We start from the raw sequence: 15562 nt of genomic DNA on the forward strand, positions 1-15562 counted from the left end.
TCTTTTTGACAATTCTGTGAAGTAATATCTTTAAAAGAAATAGGTGAGGAAATGTTTAGAGATGTGAAGGCACTTGCCCAGGGTTGCACAGTTTGCAATCTAAATCATTGTTTTATCCCCGCAATCTCCTTCCAGGCTTTCTTCTCTCAGCTAACTAGATTTCCTTCTCCAAAATATCTTTATCCTTTGCTGGCAGTAACCTTAGTGCTGTCCTCTGGGACATGTGAGGAACTTAACACTGGTTCAACATTAGCGGAGGGGCAAAAGGTCTCCTTCTAGCTGAGCTCGCAGAAGGAATATGCTCTCTGGGGAACTGTGGAATAAGAAGAAAAGTGGGTGAGGAGGACAATTTTGTTCCCACTAGGTCTGAACTATGCCCTGGTTTTAGCTACATTTTTGTTGTTCCACAAACAACAGTGATTTAATGAATGCAGATTTTTCTGTTTGTATATTGCTTGACTTCCCTTTCATTCCCCAGCCCAGCTTTACCCAGCTGAGGTCCTAACTCCCCTCCCATCTACCCACCCTTCCTCACTTTGCCCTATTCTGCCCCACCTTCCTGTCAGGCCCAGCTTCTCAAGCCTTCTTTTTTTTATTGTTGTTGTTCTACTGGGAGCAGAGAGGGTGGAGTCCTCTTACTGAGGCTTTTCCTCCTCCCTTCCCTCCAGCCCTCAGACTGGGCTCCACCCTGGTAGTTTGTCAGCTGGCTTTCAGGAGGAGGAGAAGCGGGATGATGAAGAGGAGAAAGAGAAGAAGGGAAGAACAGCATATGTGGGCCCAGAATCGTGTCTGCATATTTCTCAGCTGCTTTTCATTAGGTTCCACACTTAATTTAACACTCCTCATCTGATTACTTGGATATATAGAGGAAAGCACAGGCTGCTTCTTCAAGCAGTCTCCCTCACGCATAAGGTGGGATGGAAGGAGTTGAAAATATCGCAGGTTGCTATTTGGTTCATGTTTATTCTAGCCAGCTAAAGAAAGGAGAGCCTGAGGTGTTTCCTAGACGGACAGGGAAATTTATCAAAACTTCTAGTTCCCCATACCTGCTCCCTCACACCCTTTCGTGTGACATAGACAACACCAACCACATGCTGATTATTTCTATGTGTCAAGAGTAAAAGAATATAAAGGCAAACTCCTGCCTTTGACATTAACTGTGGTCATGGGTTTCATAGTTCCCTGTGAACCATCTTTGGGTCCTAATTTGAGTGAGACAGAGGCCATCTCTAAAGGACTTGAAGGGGAAATGTGGACTAATAGGCTGTGTGCGTACAGTGAAATTGAGGGTTCATCCACTGGAGCCTCTTAGAATGGATGTTCTCATTCCACCGCCCCCCAACACCTAGCATTGTTCTTGATAAAGCACAGGTGCTCAATACATTTTATTGACTGAATAGATGAAAGAACAGATGGGAAAGGATCTTGGGTTTGTTTTTCCAAGTTTCAATAACTTCAAGTTTTCCAAAAACTGAATTTGCCATCTAAGGTCTAAGTTTTCCCCACAAATAAAGTTGAGGCAGTATTTCTAAAACAAACAAAAAGCTAGAGCTTAAAATAAATTTGTCAACAATAAAGACTTTTAATAAAATATAAACTGTTAAGCTATCTGTGTATGGATCGACCTTCTTGAAAAGCTATTTCAGACTGAAAAAGTAACTCGATGACCTTAAGGCACACCCACTGTATTCAGGGCTAGTAGTGGCTACTCTTTTCAAAATGTTACTTCAGCAATCTACTCATTTTCATCTGCACATCACAAAAATGCATTTATTATTGATATAAACTGCTTAATGTCTTTCACACACTTGAATCTAAGAGAAAACTTTTCAGCATTGCTCAAAACAGTGCTGTAGTGGTAAGAATCCTATATTGGATAATACTCCCCAAATTTTATACATTGAGAAACAAAGCCTCCAAGGAATAAAGTAAATTTTTTAAATGAAGGCATAGAGAGTTGTACACTTCTCTGTATGATTCCATCTCAATATATCTTACCTTGTAAGCTTGGCAGGGGTGCAGGTCGTGGTGAAGAGATATAGTGAGATAGAGAGTTATTTATGAAACCCCTACTACAGGGACATTCTTTTATGAAACAAATACATATGCATGTGTATTTATTTAACCTGTCACTAAGTTTCCACATCTGTAAAATGGGGATAGCAATGTCTACCCATAGGATTGTCAGAAGGATTCAATGAGTTAATATACATAAGAGGCTTACAACAGAGTTTAGTACATAGTTAATGCTCAATAACTATTATTATTGTTAATAATAATATAACTTGGCATCCAAGTTACAGAAATGAGATCGCCTGGTGCTTCAGCTCAAGGACTTTATAGTTTAGTAGGGGGAGGCAATTATACCAACAAATATGTGCCCCGAGGTAGAGAAGGGCACAGAGGAAGCAATGGTCAGTTTTGCCTGAAGAAATTAAGTAAGGAGGGGAGATGACCTTGAGTTAGTCCTTTCAAGAAAGTGGACAGATTCATTGGAAGGACATGCAAGAAAAAAAAAGGTGGACAGAGAGCTTAGTCTATTTCAGTCAGAGAAAGTAAAGCAACCCAAGGCATAGAGATTGGAAACAGCTTGGAATTCCCAGGGATTTGTAATCCAGGTAAAGCCCAGGAGAACAGCAAAATCTCTGCTGCTTGAGAGGCAGACAAAGGCCAGATCACAGCAGGTTAAAGGATGAGTTCCAGGGTGCTGCCTTGGATGTATGGTGGTGCCATTCAGGTAGTTGGTGAACTACAGGAGGAAGAACAGAGTGTTTTGGGGAAAGGAAGGTAGATGAGATGCACAGAAGACATTCAGGCAGAAATATCAACTAAGTAAGTAGACCTATGTGTTCGAAAGTACTGGGCTGAGGCCTTCCGTTTCCTTATTTTTTTAAATAAAGGGCACAGAGAATATAACAGTACCTAGTTCCCAGGGTTGTTATTGGGACTAAATGGGGAAATGTTGAATGTAAAAGCACCTGGCTCAGGGACTTGCCCATATTAGGTGCTGAATACATGGCAGATATTATTATTTCTCCTGTCTCTTTGCTCTTCCTCCCTCTGCTTTGTTTCTTGTCTCTCTTCTTTTTCCTCCTCTTTAAAAGAATTGTGGTAGGGAAGAGGCACTGAAAATGGGCTGTGGTTGCTTGTGACTTCCTGGCCTCCCATTAAAATGAGCTAGAGAGAGACTTTCAGGCAAGCGTAAAGAAATCCTGGAAACATGGCTCCTATCCTGTGGATTCAGCTTTACGGGGATCTTCGCCAATGCCTGGCTGAGAGGCGGTCTCAGGGGGTTGAGAACTCTATTCTTAGAGGTCTGGTATCTGGGAGACTGAGAAAGCCTTTCTTAAGTCTCCCTGCTGGGCCACGCTGTATTCACAGATCATCTTCAACTCCTTCTTCTTCCCCACCTACTCCTTCGCCCTCACCTCCTTGGCTTATCTCTTGCTAGAAAATGCACCAAGCTCCAATCTCCGTTCCTTTTAGCTTCCTCCCTGAGAAGACACTGTGACCTCGCTGTCCTTGTTCGTGTTACCATGGAGAGGTAGGAGGATAAATATCGCTTCCAGTTGTCAGCTTTTTTGTTTTCTCCTTTCCCTCTTAGACAGCCCCCAGCCCCAATCCCAGTACCCGTTTCACCACCCTCCCCTGGAGAATTAGCATAACCGGAGTAAATAGGTAATCAAGCAGTGTGCTTGCAAGCCTTAATTTTGGGACAGATAAGGAAGTGAAATTGATTGGAATTATACCTGCCGCTGCTGGAGGCTGAGGGAGGCGGCCGCCGGAGGCGAGGCCAGCTCTGTCGGCCCAGGGCCCCGCCCCACCCCCTCCTTCCTCCCTCCTCCTTCTCAGCCCCACCCTTCTCCACCTCCTCCCACTTTGCACTCTCCTCTAGCGGCCGCCTGTCCTTTTTAAGGAACTCCACCCTAGGTGGAGTCCTCACGATAGTCACACCTCTCCTTTGGGCCTAGCAGGGCCAGAGAAAGACGGAATCACTCTACCCACTCAGGTTGCCCAGAGAGCACTTTAGGTTCTGACTCGCGTGGGGCGCGAGGTACCCCGTGGGGCAGCTAGGTGCCTCCAAGAAACCCCGCCCCAGAGGACCCGCACGAGTTGCTGCCATTTTTCGCTGAAGCCCCTGCCCTGGGGCTGGTGTTCTTCTCTATGATTCTACCAATCGTCGGCATTTTTTTCCTCCCTTCTTTCTTTTTAGGAAGGCGCTGGGGTGTGCGGCGGCAACGGCGGCGGTGAAGGGATCCTCTTGTGGTATCTCCTCGTGGGTTCCTGTCTTGAAGGATTTCTTCTCCGCCTCAACTTTATGTTCAAGTAGCGCTTTGGGGGTTGGGTTGGTTTTCATAGCCCCCACCCCCGGCCCTCTCCTTTTAAAGGGTGTGTGGAGTTCAGAGGATGGGTGGAGAGCGGGCTTGGCCGGAACTGAATTGGTAGAGGTAAAAGGGGAACGGAGGACCTTAAGCTCTGGCCACTTCGGCCCAGCGAACCCACTTTATTTTTGTCCAAGGAAAAGCTGCAGGGGGGAGGATTCTTTTTAGGAAGTCTACTCTGCCGGCCCCTGATTTTTGGGTTGGATGCTTGAGAGCTTTGTTTCCCTTGTTCCGAGAGTGGCCCAGCTGGGTCTGAATCGACTCCCTCCCCTTTCGACCCCCTCCTCATTTTCCAGCCCGGAGAAATAGGGGAGTGGGGGCCCAAGAACGAGAAGACGAGAACGCGTCGCCCTGCGCTATGTCAGAATGGGGCGGGTGTGAGGGGAACAGCTCTCTTGCGATCAGCTCAGGAGTATGAGCCTCCCGGAGGACGGCATGAGTTCTGGACACTTCAGGAGTCCTCAGCTAGTGACATGGTCGGTAAGTGACTCTGGGACTAATACCCACCCACTCCCACCTCTTTCGTCTAGATTCTATCCCCCTCCCAGTCCCCCTGCTCCCCCCACACACCCCACTTGGGGTTTCAGCAGTGGGGGCGGGAGCGGAAGGTTAAGAACACTATGTGGAATCAAATGAAACTCAAGGGAAAATGACTTTGCTAAAGGGCTGGGCAAAGAAAGGCCAAGAAGGAGAGGAGAGAGCTTGGTGGAAGAAGTGAAAGGGGGCAAGAATGGATGGATTTGTCTAGTCTAGTCTCCCCTGGCTCGGCACTCCCAATACTCCTTAAGCGGTAAGGATTGTCTTTGACTTAACCCCACACAGCCAAAGTCACAACCAGAGAGAACAGGATTCACAAGGCCAAAGCTCCCAGGTAACCCCCTGAAGCCATAGCGGGTACCTAGAGAAGCTTCTGAAAAGAAGGAGGAGGGGACAGTGGTTTAAGGTGCAAAGTTAGGCTATTGGAGGCACAGAGTGAGGCCTGGAAGCAGCTGCGGGGGAGGAGCTGCTTTGGGCGTGCCAGCTCTTTAAGGAGGGGCTGAGCTTGGTTGGAGAAGGAAGCCAGAGCCTAGGCTCTGCTCCGGCCCTTTAAGACGTGGCCAAGGCAGTTGGTTCGTCTGTGTAGGTGGAAGACTGACTGGGCCGAGTTGCTGTGATTGCTGAAGTGAATCCATTTGTTTAGCCACTTGGCGGAGCTGTCTTTTTGTGGGCTTTTTTTTTTAACCCTAAGAATTTGGGAAAAAATAAATCACATCCAAACAGGTGGCCAAAGGCACCATGTCTTATTTCTTTTGGTATTATATTCATCGTGAAGAAACGCATTTATTAAGCACCTGTCACCCAGTGTGGTAATAATTGAGCAAAAAGAATAATCTTTAAATTTGGATTTGAAACTGATGGAGATTGCCATGGTTTGGGGTAATCTGCTTTGAAACCCTAGTATCACCACTTATTAGCTGCATCACCCTGGGCCTTGCTTTTCTCTTCCATAGAATGCAGATTAATAATTCTATCTCAGTAGATACTCGGGTGGATGAAATATCTTGTGTATGTGGCAGAGGCTGCCACTTGTATCTTAGTTCAACTTCCCTTTTCTACTCAGTTTGGAACTATTTTTCTGGACCACTGCTGATAAAATTAGTGTTTTTCTGTCCTTAAAACACCTTCCAGATGTGGTAAAACGAAACTTAGGAAGACTGAATTAGTTTGTCCAAAGGCTGAGGCTAGAACACAGGTTTTATTTGCTTCTGATTTAACATTGTTTCCACCAGACTTCATCACTTCTGAAAGAAAGGGCTACTAGCCTGCCTTTTCTCTCATTCTTTGGGCAACTTAACCAGAATGATATAACCAACAGGACTTTTGGACAACAGAAACAAGTGATAGGTAAATGACCTCATCCCATTCTTCAGAGTTATGGGGAAGCCCTTGAGAGTTGTTGACCTTTGGTGACTGCTGGGGACACAGAGAATGGGTGGGGAGCAATGTCTTCAGGTAAGCCTGGAGGGCAGACAGGCAGAAAACATAGGAAGAGTAGAAATAATAACCTCAAAAGTAAAAATGACAGGTGCATCTATGTAGTCCACCCTCAAGACCAACTTACTTAATGGCTGTACCTTCAGAGCCCTCAGGAGCTATACATCCCTCTTGTTTAGACTTTTCAGGGCACATTGGAAATTGGGAAAAAAATAACCATGTAGCAGACTACCATCACCACTCTCATTGTTCTAATACATGCATTTCTGAGGTGGGGTTCTCATTGGCTAAGTGAATTCCAATAACCAAAGTAGCAAACAGAGCCTAGTCATTTTTGATCTTGCCAGATTGTCTGTGCCTGGTGCGGTGGGGGCAGTATATGATCTTCTAAGATCTAGCTTTACAATGCCATGATTTTGTGAATGAAGGAAAACTTAATTAGGATGATTGACATAGATGATCATCTAGTATGATTACCATCTTATTGTTAAGTAGAGTATGAATAAGGGAATAACATTGTAGTATTGGGCTCATTTGTTTATTCAAAGACAGTGTGAGATCATGTTTGGTATTCTTCCTGATTTTTTTTTTTTTTTTTGACACGGTGTTTCGCCCTTGTTGCCCAGGCTGGAGTGCAATGGCGTGATCTCGGCTTGCCGCAACCTTCGCCTCCCAGGTTCAAGTGATTCTCCTGCCTCAGCCTCCTGAGTAGCTGGGATTACAGGCATGCACCACCATACCTGGCTAATTTTGTATTTTTAGTGGAGACGGGGTTTCTCCATGTTGGTCAGGCTGGTCTCGAACTCCCAACCTCAGGTGATCCATCCACCTCAGCCTCCCAAAGTGCTGGGATTACAGGCATGAGCCACGTGCCCAACCTCTTCCTGATTTTTATATGCTAATGTTTACTATCCTCAACTGAGTTTCATCATTTAGCCTGTTTCCTCATCTCTAAAATGACATGATAATTTGTGATTATAAATAATGTAAGGAAAGCATTGAACTCAGTGCCTGATATCTAATATGTTTCATAAGTTGCGGTCTCATCATTTTTGTTATTTAAAAAAATTTGTTTTATTTAAATGCTGCTGTGTGTTTGCAGAAGTGGAATGTAGATTAGTGGACAGGAAGCTGGATTTAAATATATGAAAGGTGCTAGATGTTCTGTATAATATACTAAAAGATGTTATTTGTGTATTTAGACAAAATAGATGTGATGTGGGCAAACTAAGCTCTAGGATTATTAAGGAGCAATAACCTAACTCAAGAGCCCAATCCAGATATTTCAAATCACTAGCAATTTGACATTTTGTTGTAACCTCACACTCACCATTTCTAATATACAGCCCATCATCACCTCTGGACTCTTCACTCATTCCTCATTCAAGACTCTTCCTTTCACTTCCCTGGTTCTGCAACTTACTATGACCATAGTAATGGTGAACTTATTTAAACTCTGTACTTTAGTTGTCATATCTGTGCATTGGGGATAATAATAGACACTACCTCATAAGGTTGCTGTGAGGAATAAGTGTGTTAATTTTGTAAACACTTAGAAGGCGGCATGAAAGTGAAGCAGTGGGAAAATGTAGCTGTTGTGGTACTCATGTCCCTTTCCCCTCTTCCTCATTTTCTCATTTAATTAGATGCCAATGGCTGTTGTATTTTTTCCCCTTTGTATCTGGTATCTGTTTCTTTATTATTATTCTAACTGCCACCACCTTAATTTAGGCGAGACGTGCAAACAATTAGCCTACAGACCAACTAAAGCTCACACGTGTTTTGTTTTCCCTAAAATTTAAAAACTTTCAACTAAAACATGCATTTTCAATTGGTAATGCATTCCGCCTGGCTCAAAATTCAGTATTTACTAAAGGGTGCATGGTGAAAAAAGTCTCCCTCCTATTCCTGTTCTCTAGCCACCCATTTTGCCTCGCTGGAGGCAACTAATGTTATCTATTTATTAGGAATCTCTCCAGGGATATTTAGTGTATATCAAGCAATGAGTATGTTTGTGTGTGTGTGTGTGTGTGTGTGTGTGTGTGAATAACATTGTAGTATTGGGCTCATTTGTTTACTCAAAGATAATGTGAAATCATGTTTGGTTTTCTATAGATAGATAGATGGATATATATATATATATATATATGGTTCAGTATCTTCTGATTATTCAAAAGAAACTGGAATTCTAGGAATTTAAGTGAAATCTGATTTTGAAATACTGGTTATCAATCAACTTTTAAAAGTGTGGGACTAGGCAACTTGACATACTGACATGAACTGAATTGTGACCCCCCCATCCCCCCCAAAAAAATTCATACATTGAAGACCTAATACCTAAGCTTGTGACTGTATTTGGAGATAGGGCCTTTAGGAAAGAAATTAAGGTTAGATGAGCTCATATTATATATAATACATATATAATATTAGTATATATGTAAGTACCACAACAACTATATTTTCTCACTGCTTACTTCACTTTCATGCCTTCTTCTAAGTGTTTACAAAATTAACACACTTATTCTTCACTGCAACCTTATGAGGTAGTTTCTATTATATATATATGTGTGTGTGTGTGTGTGTTTGTGTGTGTGTGTGTATATATATATCCCCTTCACCTTTTATACACAGATAGTAACACATTCTGCATATTGTTCTCTACAACTTGCTTGTCTACTTAAAAATATACTTTGGAGATATTTTCATATATGCACATTTTTTAAATGCCTCATTCTTTTTTATGACTGCATAGGTTTTTACTATATGCATGAGCCACAAATTTTTAAACAGTTTTCTGTTGATTGATCTTTAAGTTATTTCCAAACTTTTGCAGTGTTATTTGTAATAACAATAAAAACTTTTGTAAGCAGTGCATTAGAGAGCTCAGGCTGCCATAACAAAATACCATTGACTGAGTGGCTTAAACAACAGAAATGTATTTTCTCACAGTTCTGGAGGCTGGGAGTCCATGATCAGGGTGCCAACATGGTCAGATTTTCATGAGGACTCTCTTTCTGACCTGTAGAAGGCCACCTTTTCACTTTGTACTCATGTGATCTTTGTACAAATGGGAGGAGAAAGAGTGAATTCTCTCTGGTGTGTCTTCTTAGAAAGACACTAATCCTATCAGATCAGAACCTCACCTTTATGAGCTCATTTAACCTTAATTTCTTTCCTAAAGGCCCTATCTTCAAATATAGTCACTAGGTTAGGTCTTCTACCTATTAATTTTTTTTTGGAGAGTGGACACAACACAAGTCAGTTCATAGCAGTGTGTCAAATTGCCTAGTCCCACACTTTTAAAAGTTGGTTGATTGCCAATATTTCAAAATCAGATTTCCCTTAAAATTCTAGAATTCTAGGCCGGGCGCAGTGGCTCATGCCTGTAATCCCAGGACTTTGGGAGGCCAAAGCAGGAGGATCACCTGTCAGCAGTTCGAAACCAGCTTGACCAACATGGTAAAACCCCATCTATATTAAAAATACAAAATTAGCCGGGTGTGGTGGTGCATGCCTGTAATCCCAGCTACTCAGGAACCTGAGACAGGAGAATCGATTGGACCTGGGAGGCGGAGGTTGCAGTGAGCCGAGATCACACCATTGCACTCCAGCTTGGGCAACAAGAGTGAAACTCCGTCTCAAAAGAAAACAAAAATTCTTCAATTCCAGTTTCTTTTGACTAATCAGAAGATACTGAACCAGCATTCTCTCTTGGCAATAATTGCCTAGAGTTGATGAGCCTCTCCCTCCCTCCCCTTTAAAACAGTACTTGTATTTTTTGTTCACCACATTACTCATCTGGCCTAGGTGGCCTTAACCTGTCTGACCCCTAGTCTAGATATTGAGATTATGGCACCTATGTAAGCTCTTACCGCAGTACTCATAGAATATTCCAATAGCTTCTAGTTCTACTTTGATTCTTTCTGCCCTCTCTACTCTGAGGACCACTGCAAGGATATATTCCTTAAAACACTTTTAAAAATTATGTTACTCTCCTTCACTCCACAGTCATTTACTGGGTGTCTACAAAGTTGGAAGCATCATGCTAGAAGCTGAGGTGATAGTGGTAAACTTACCACTTTAGGTTAGGTAAACTATCAGTTTAGGTGGGACCCTTGCCTTCATGGAGTATGCAGTTTACTTTTCCTCTCGTCTGGATTTCCTTTCTGTTTCTTCTTGACTGTCGTAGTTCTTCAAAGCCCACCTCAAAGCAAACCATTTATTTGAAATTTTCTCTGACTATTCCATTCTCAGTAATCTCCTCCTCTCCCAATTATTGCTCATAGCCTCAAATCATAATCCAGCAATGCAGCATCTATTATCTTGTAATATTTGATTGCTATTATTTTATGCATAATTGTTTCTCATCACACGGACCTGGGATCTCAAACTTAAATCTCCAGGGCCCAGTAAAATGAGAAAAGCATGCCCTGTCTAAAGGGGACAGCTGTTGATCATCTCCAGCTAATTTTTCCCTTGTGCCAATGTACACTCTGTATTATAAAATCTCTCAGCTTTTTTAGAAAAGCAAGAAATAGGATTTTTTTCTTAAAACATGAAATCTGCATTTGAAAGGTTGTTAGATGTTTCTGTTTTAATCTTTAACATCACTATGAGAACCAGGCCAACATCTGCAGTGGGCTGCCAGTTTTCTCTATCTGACCTAGACTGCAAATTTACTGAGGATAGAGGCCAGAGACCATGAAGTTTTCTTCCTTCTGGTATTACCTCCTCCCTCCTTCCCACATAATATCTACTACAGTGTTGACTATTTAGTAGGGTCTTGGTAAAGACTTGATTATCATCAGAAAGTTCCCCTTTAAGTTAACCATGATGTCCTGTAAATGACATAGTAGTTCTACTTTCTCCAAATACCTAAATGTGCCTTTGAAGACAATTATCAGGCCAGCTTTCTTTTTCCCTGTCCCCCTTTTTGCCAGATGTAATCATCTACATTTCTTGATCTAGCTCCATTTTGTTTTCTTTTAAAAAAATTGGTTATTTCTCTAGTTTCTTTCATTTTTTTCTGCATTTCTCTTCTATTTGCCATTTTTCTTGAAATATTGTACATCACAAATAAAGTACAGTATCTTCAGAAAGGTCTACATGATGCTGAGCATATATTTAAGTTTGATTATTTGGAGCTAATTATTCCATCTCTTGTTTCTTCCTATACGTTCAATGATGCGGTTGTTTCATCTTCAGTTAGAATGGGCGGGGATGTGATGTGAATATATTTATTTCTTGTTTGTTAAACTAGTTCTGATAAATATACATAACAGTTGGTGCTAAAAGAATAATAACATACTTATTCCTTAATTTTGTAGCTAGATCCTAGAATAGATGTGTAGCGTTGAATTGGCTACTGCATTAACCTCACTTTCTGGAGCTCTACAAACTGAAATGGTCCAAGACTCTTCTAGGATGCCTTGTCTTGGTGCTCCTGAGCCACTGCTCAGGCAGTGAGTAGAAAAGTTATTCAAGAGCCAAGGTCTCTTCCCTTAAGTACCTGTTGCACAAAACATGGATGAGGACCAATTGTATTGTTACAAATTATTTGTGGTTGCCACACTACCACCATGTTTAATTTATTGGAGGAGATTGTTGCATGAAATAAAGGTATGAAGTAATGAAGAGGATCACATGAGATGTTACATAATGATTCAGAGCAATGAGTTTTTGCTGCTGTGGCTCTTTGTCCCTTAGTGCCATGCTGGAGTTGTAATTCCTAGAGGTTTTGTTTTATAATTAACATAATAATTAGTGGGAATCTTTTAATACTCTGTACATATATTCAATATTAGAGTTTGCTGCAAAGATATAAAAACACCTTCATTATTATTATTTTCAACTCTAACAAACTATTTCAAAGTACAGGGTAGTAGCAAGTACTTTAAGGAAAAAAAAAGAGCTTTGGTATCAAACATCATACCTGGATTCCAATCCCAGCTCAATAATTTACCAGTTTATGTGACCTTGGGATTATTTAATCCCATTGACTCTATTTCTTCATGTGTATAGTGGGATCAACAGTAATACCTACCTCACAGGGCAATTGTGAAAATTAAATATGTCCCATTAGAAATGCCATGAAGTGTGGCACACGTTTACCTATGTAACAAACCTGCACGTCCTGCACATGTACCTCAAACTTTAAAATTAAAAAAAGAAATGCCATGAAATGATATATCTGGGATTTGCATAAAAATATACATTGAGGTAGGGGGAGTGGGTTGAGGTACAGATGAAACAAGGTTTACCATTAGCTGAAAATCATTGAATCTGAGAGTAGGCGCATGGGGTTTTTGTCTACTTTTGTATGCATTTAAAATCACCCATAATTTTTTTTTGAGATGGAGCCTCGCTCTTTCATGCAGAGTGGAGTGCAATGGCATGATCTCAGTTCACTGCAACTTCCACCTCCTGAGTTAAAGTGACTCGTGCCTCAGCCTACCAAGTGGCTGGGACTACAGGCATGTGCCACCACACCTGGCTAATTTTTGTATTTTTTAGTAGAGATGGCATTTCACCATGTTGGTCAGGCTGGTCTCAAACTCCTGACTTCAAGTGATCCACCCGCCTTGGCCTCCCAAAGTGCTAGGACTACAGGCATGAGCCACCGCACCCAGTCATTCATAGTAATTTTTTAAATGCCATTGGAATGAGACTCAAGTTTACCTGATGGTTTGTAGAAAACTTAATCCTTCTTGACATCAATCTCACAGGTTAAGCAGAAACCTGAGATGATTATTATGGATTTTCCATCTATGTCCTTGTAATAAAATCATATATCATAGAATGTTATAAACTGGAAGGGATCTGAAAAGGACTAAGTAGTTTACTCAAAATGACACTGCTAGACAACAGTGAAGCCTGATCTAGAATACAAGTCTCCCAGATCCTAGTTAAATGATTTTCCCATTGTTTCACATGGCCTTCTTTAATAGTAAGAGTTTTATCTGCTTATTGCATATAAGATTAATTATTGTCTAAACATAAATATATTTGTTCAATGGAGATTCAAGGCAAGGGGACTGGTTCTAGGCATCTGAGATTATGTTTCTATAATACCTTTAAATCTGTTTTGTCAATTGATTCTTACAAGTATCTTGTGAGGTGAATGAGGAGTTATTTCCACTTTCTACATAAAGTGACGAGACTTGCTCAAGGTCACACAACAATTTACTGATTAAACTAGAACTAAAATGCAGGCCTGGAGTTTATTGAGCTTCATCTCCACTTGTATTTCCAGTTTTAGACTTTTATCATAATTCCTCTTAGCTTTCATCTTTTTCCAGAATGAGGAATCTTAATCTCTAGCACATTCCAAGGTAATTTTTCATTCTGGCGTATTTATTTTCTTTTTGTGGAAAAGAAAATGTAGCTTAACATCAGCGTCTGAGAGAAGCGCAACTGGCTGAAAGCACTGGAGGCTATGCAGGTGATATTGTAGAACATGAACTCATAGGAGAATGGAGATAAAGATATCAAAAATCATACATAAGTTTGTTACTGGAAATGGTTTACATCTTAAGTATGTGACCGTATTTATGTACTTTTAAAATTTTTCTGACAGAAGTAATCCTAAAAACTTATATGGCTATTTTATCTTTACATCTTATAAGATATTTTTACATGTGTTATCATGATTGGTCTTCCTAACAGCCATGAGTGGGGAGGGCTACACTGGTGTATTCCCATTTTTCAAAGGAGAAAACAGACATAGAAAGGTCAAATGACTTGCCCAAAGTTATAAATCCCTTTTCTGGTATTTCTTATCACCTTATATTTTCAATACCTTATATGACTTCACTACTTCAAGTTTAGCTGGCTGTTGTAGTAATCATGTAATACTAGATTTCAGTCTTTCTGTCACTGTCGTTCATACATGTTATGTGCTGCCAGCCTTCATTTATTTTTGTGGCAATATGTTTTCTCCTCTTAAATTCTGTTCTTTTTAACATCCTAGTTTGCCCCCACTTCCTTTTCTCTCATTCCAGGTAAGCTAAGCAGGAAAACTACAGGGGTTTTCTGGTTTGTTTGTTTTTTCTTTCTGCTGGAAAGATACACGTAAATTTAGAATTAGTCAGCTGGACTCAGTTTAGATGATCCCAATTTTGTTGGCAACATCCAAAGCATTGTAATCAGGAGCCAGTCGAACGTATGCCTTCTTCTCTCCATCAGGTCAAATCAGGGTGTTGATTTGCCACATCAGTATCATAGAGCTTCTTCACAGCCTGTTTGATCTGGTGCTTGTTGGCTTTAACATCCACAATGAACACAAGTGTGCTGTTGTCTCCTATCTTCTTCATGGCCGACACAGTGGTCAGCGGAAACTTGGTGATAGCATAGTAGTCAAGCTTGTTTCTCCTGGGGGCACTCCTCCGAGGATATTTGGGCTGCCTACAGAGTCGCAGTGACTTGGGCCGCTGGAAGGTGAGGGGTGTGTGGATCTTCTTTTTTGTGTGTGTGGTTGTGGACACCTTTCAACACTGTCTTCTTGGCCTTCAAAGCCTTTGCTTTGGCTTTGACTTTAGGAGGGGCAGGAGCTTCCTTCTTCCCTTTCCGCGCCATCTTATCGGGGTTTTCTGTTTTACAGCTACTTCTGAGTACCTGCTGTGGTGGTGGTTCTTATAATTTAGACTGGGTACCTCAAGTCACTCTCCAGCTTTTGTGTATGTTGAAACTCTTGCTTTTTTTTTTTTTTTTTTTTTTTTTTGAGACGGAGTCTCACTCTGTCTCCCAGACTAGAGTGCAATGGTGCGACCTCAGCTCACTGCAACCTCCCCATCTCCTGTGAAGCGATTCTCTTGCCTCAGCCTCCCAAGTAGCTGGGATTGCAGGCATGCACCACCACTCCCAGCTAATTTTTATATTTTCAGTAGAGACAGGGTTTCACCATGTTGGCCAGGATGGTCTCGATCTCCTGACCTCATGATCCACCTGCCACGGCCTCCAAAAGTGCTAGGATAACAGGCATGAGCCACCACGCCCGGCCCAAAACTCTTGAATAGAAAAGTCATACAGAGCTGCCTGCTGAGGTGCTACAACTGGAAGGTGAGGTTGAGTTTTCCAATGGTGACAGGTGTGAGCCTGTTTGGGGGAAATGAGATAAATTGGAGGCTTTTGCAATCTCCCTTTATTAAGTAGTTGGTTTATAGCAACCATTTATTCTCTGCTATGGAATCTGCTTAAAACAGAAGCTG

The 15562-nt window shown here is 41.6% G+C and overlaps 1 protein-coding gene and 1 pseudogene across 18 annotated transcripts in view; one reads left to right on the forward strand and one right to left on the reverse strand.

Moving 5' to 3' along the window:
• KLF8 (KLF transcription factor 8) overlaps nt 1-15562 on the forward strand; it is a 383409-nt gene that overhangs the window by 320357 nt on the left and 47490 nt on the right. For 4 of the 18 annotated variants that reach the window (NR_136705.1, NM_007250.5, XM_006724575.3 and 1 more), the window contains exon 1: nt 3877-4862. The exons of 2 other annotated variants lie outside the window; for them this stretch is intronic. Coding sequence is in view for 14 of the 16 variants with exons in the window: in NM_007250.5 (NP_009181.2) it covers nt 4856-4862 (7 nt within the window). In the remaining 2 variants the exon portion in view is untranslated. Of the gene's footprint in view, nt 1-3491; nt 3545-3876; nt 4863-15562 lie in introns of those variants that run through there. 12 more of the 18 variants (NR_136704.1, NM_001324100.1, NM_001324099.1 and 9 more) reach the window with 9 other exon arrangements.
• On the reverse strand, nt 14411-14933 carry RPL23AP83 (ribosomal protein L23a pseudogene 83; annotated as a pseudogene).

This window comes from Homo sapiens, chromosome X (genome assembly GCF_000001405.40).
Source record: "Homo sapiens chromosome X, GRCh38.p14 Primary Assembly".
NCBI classification, from domain to species: Eukaryota; Metazoa; Chordata; class Mammalia; order Primates; family Hominidae; genus Homo; species Homo sapiens.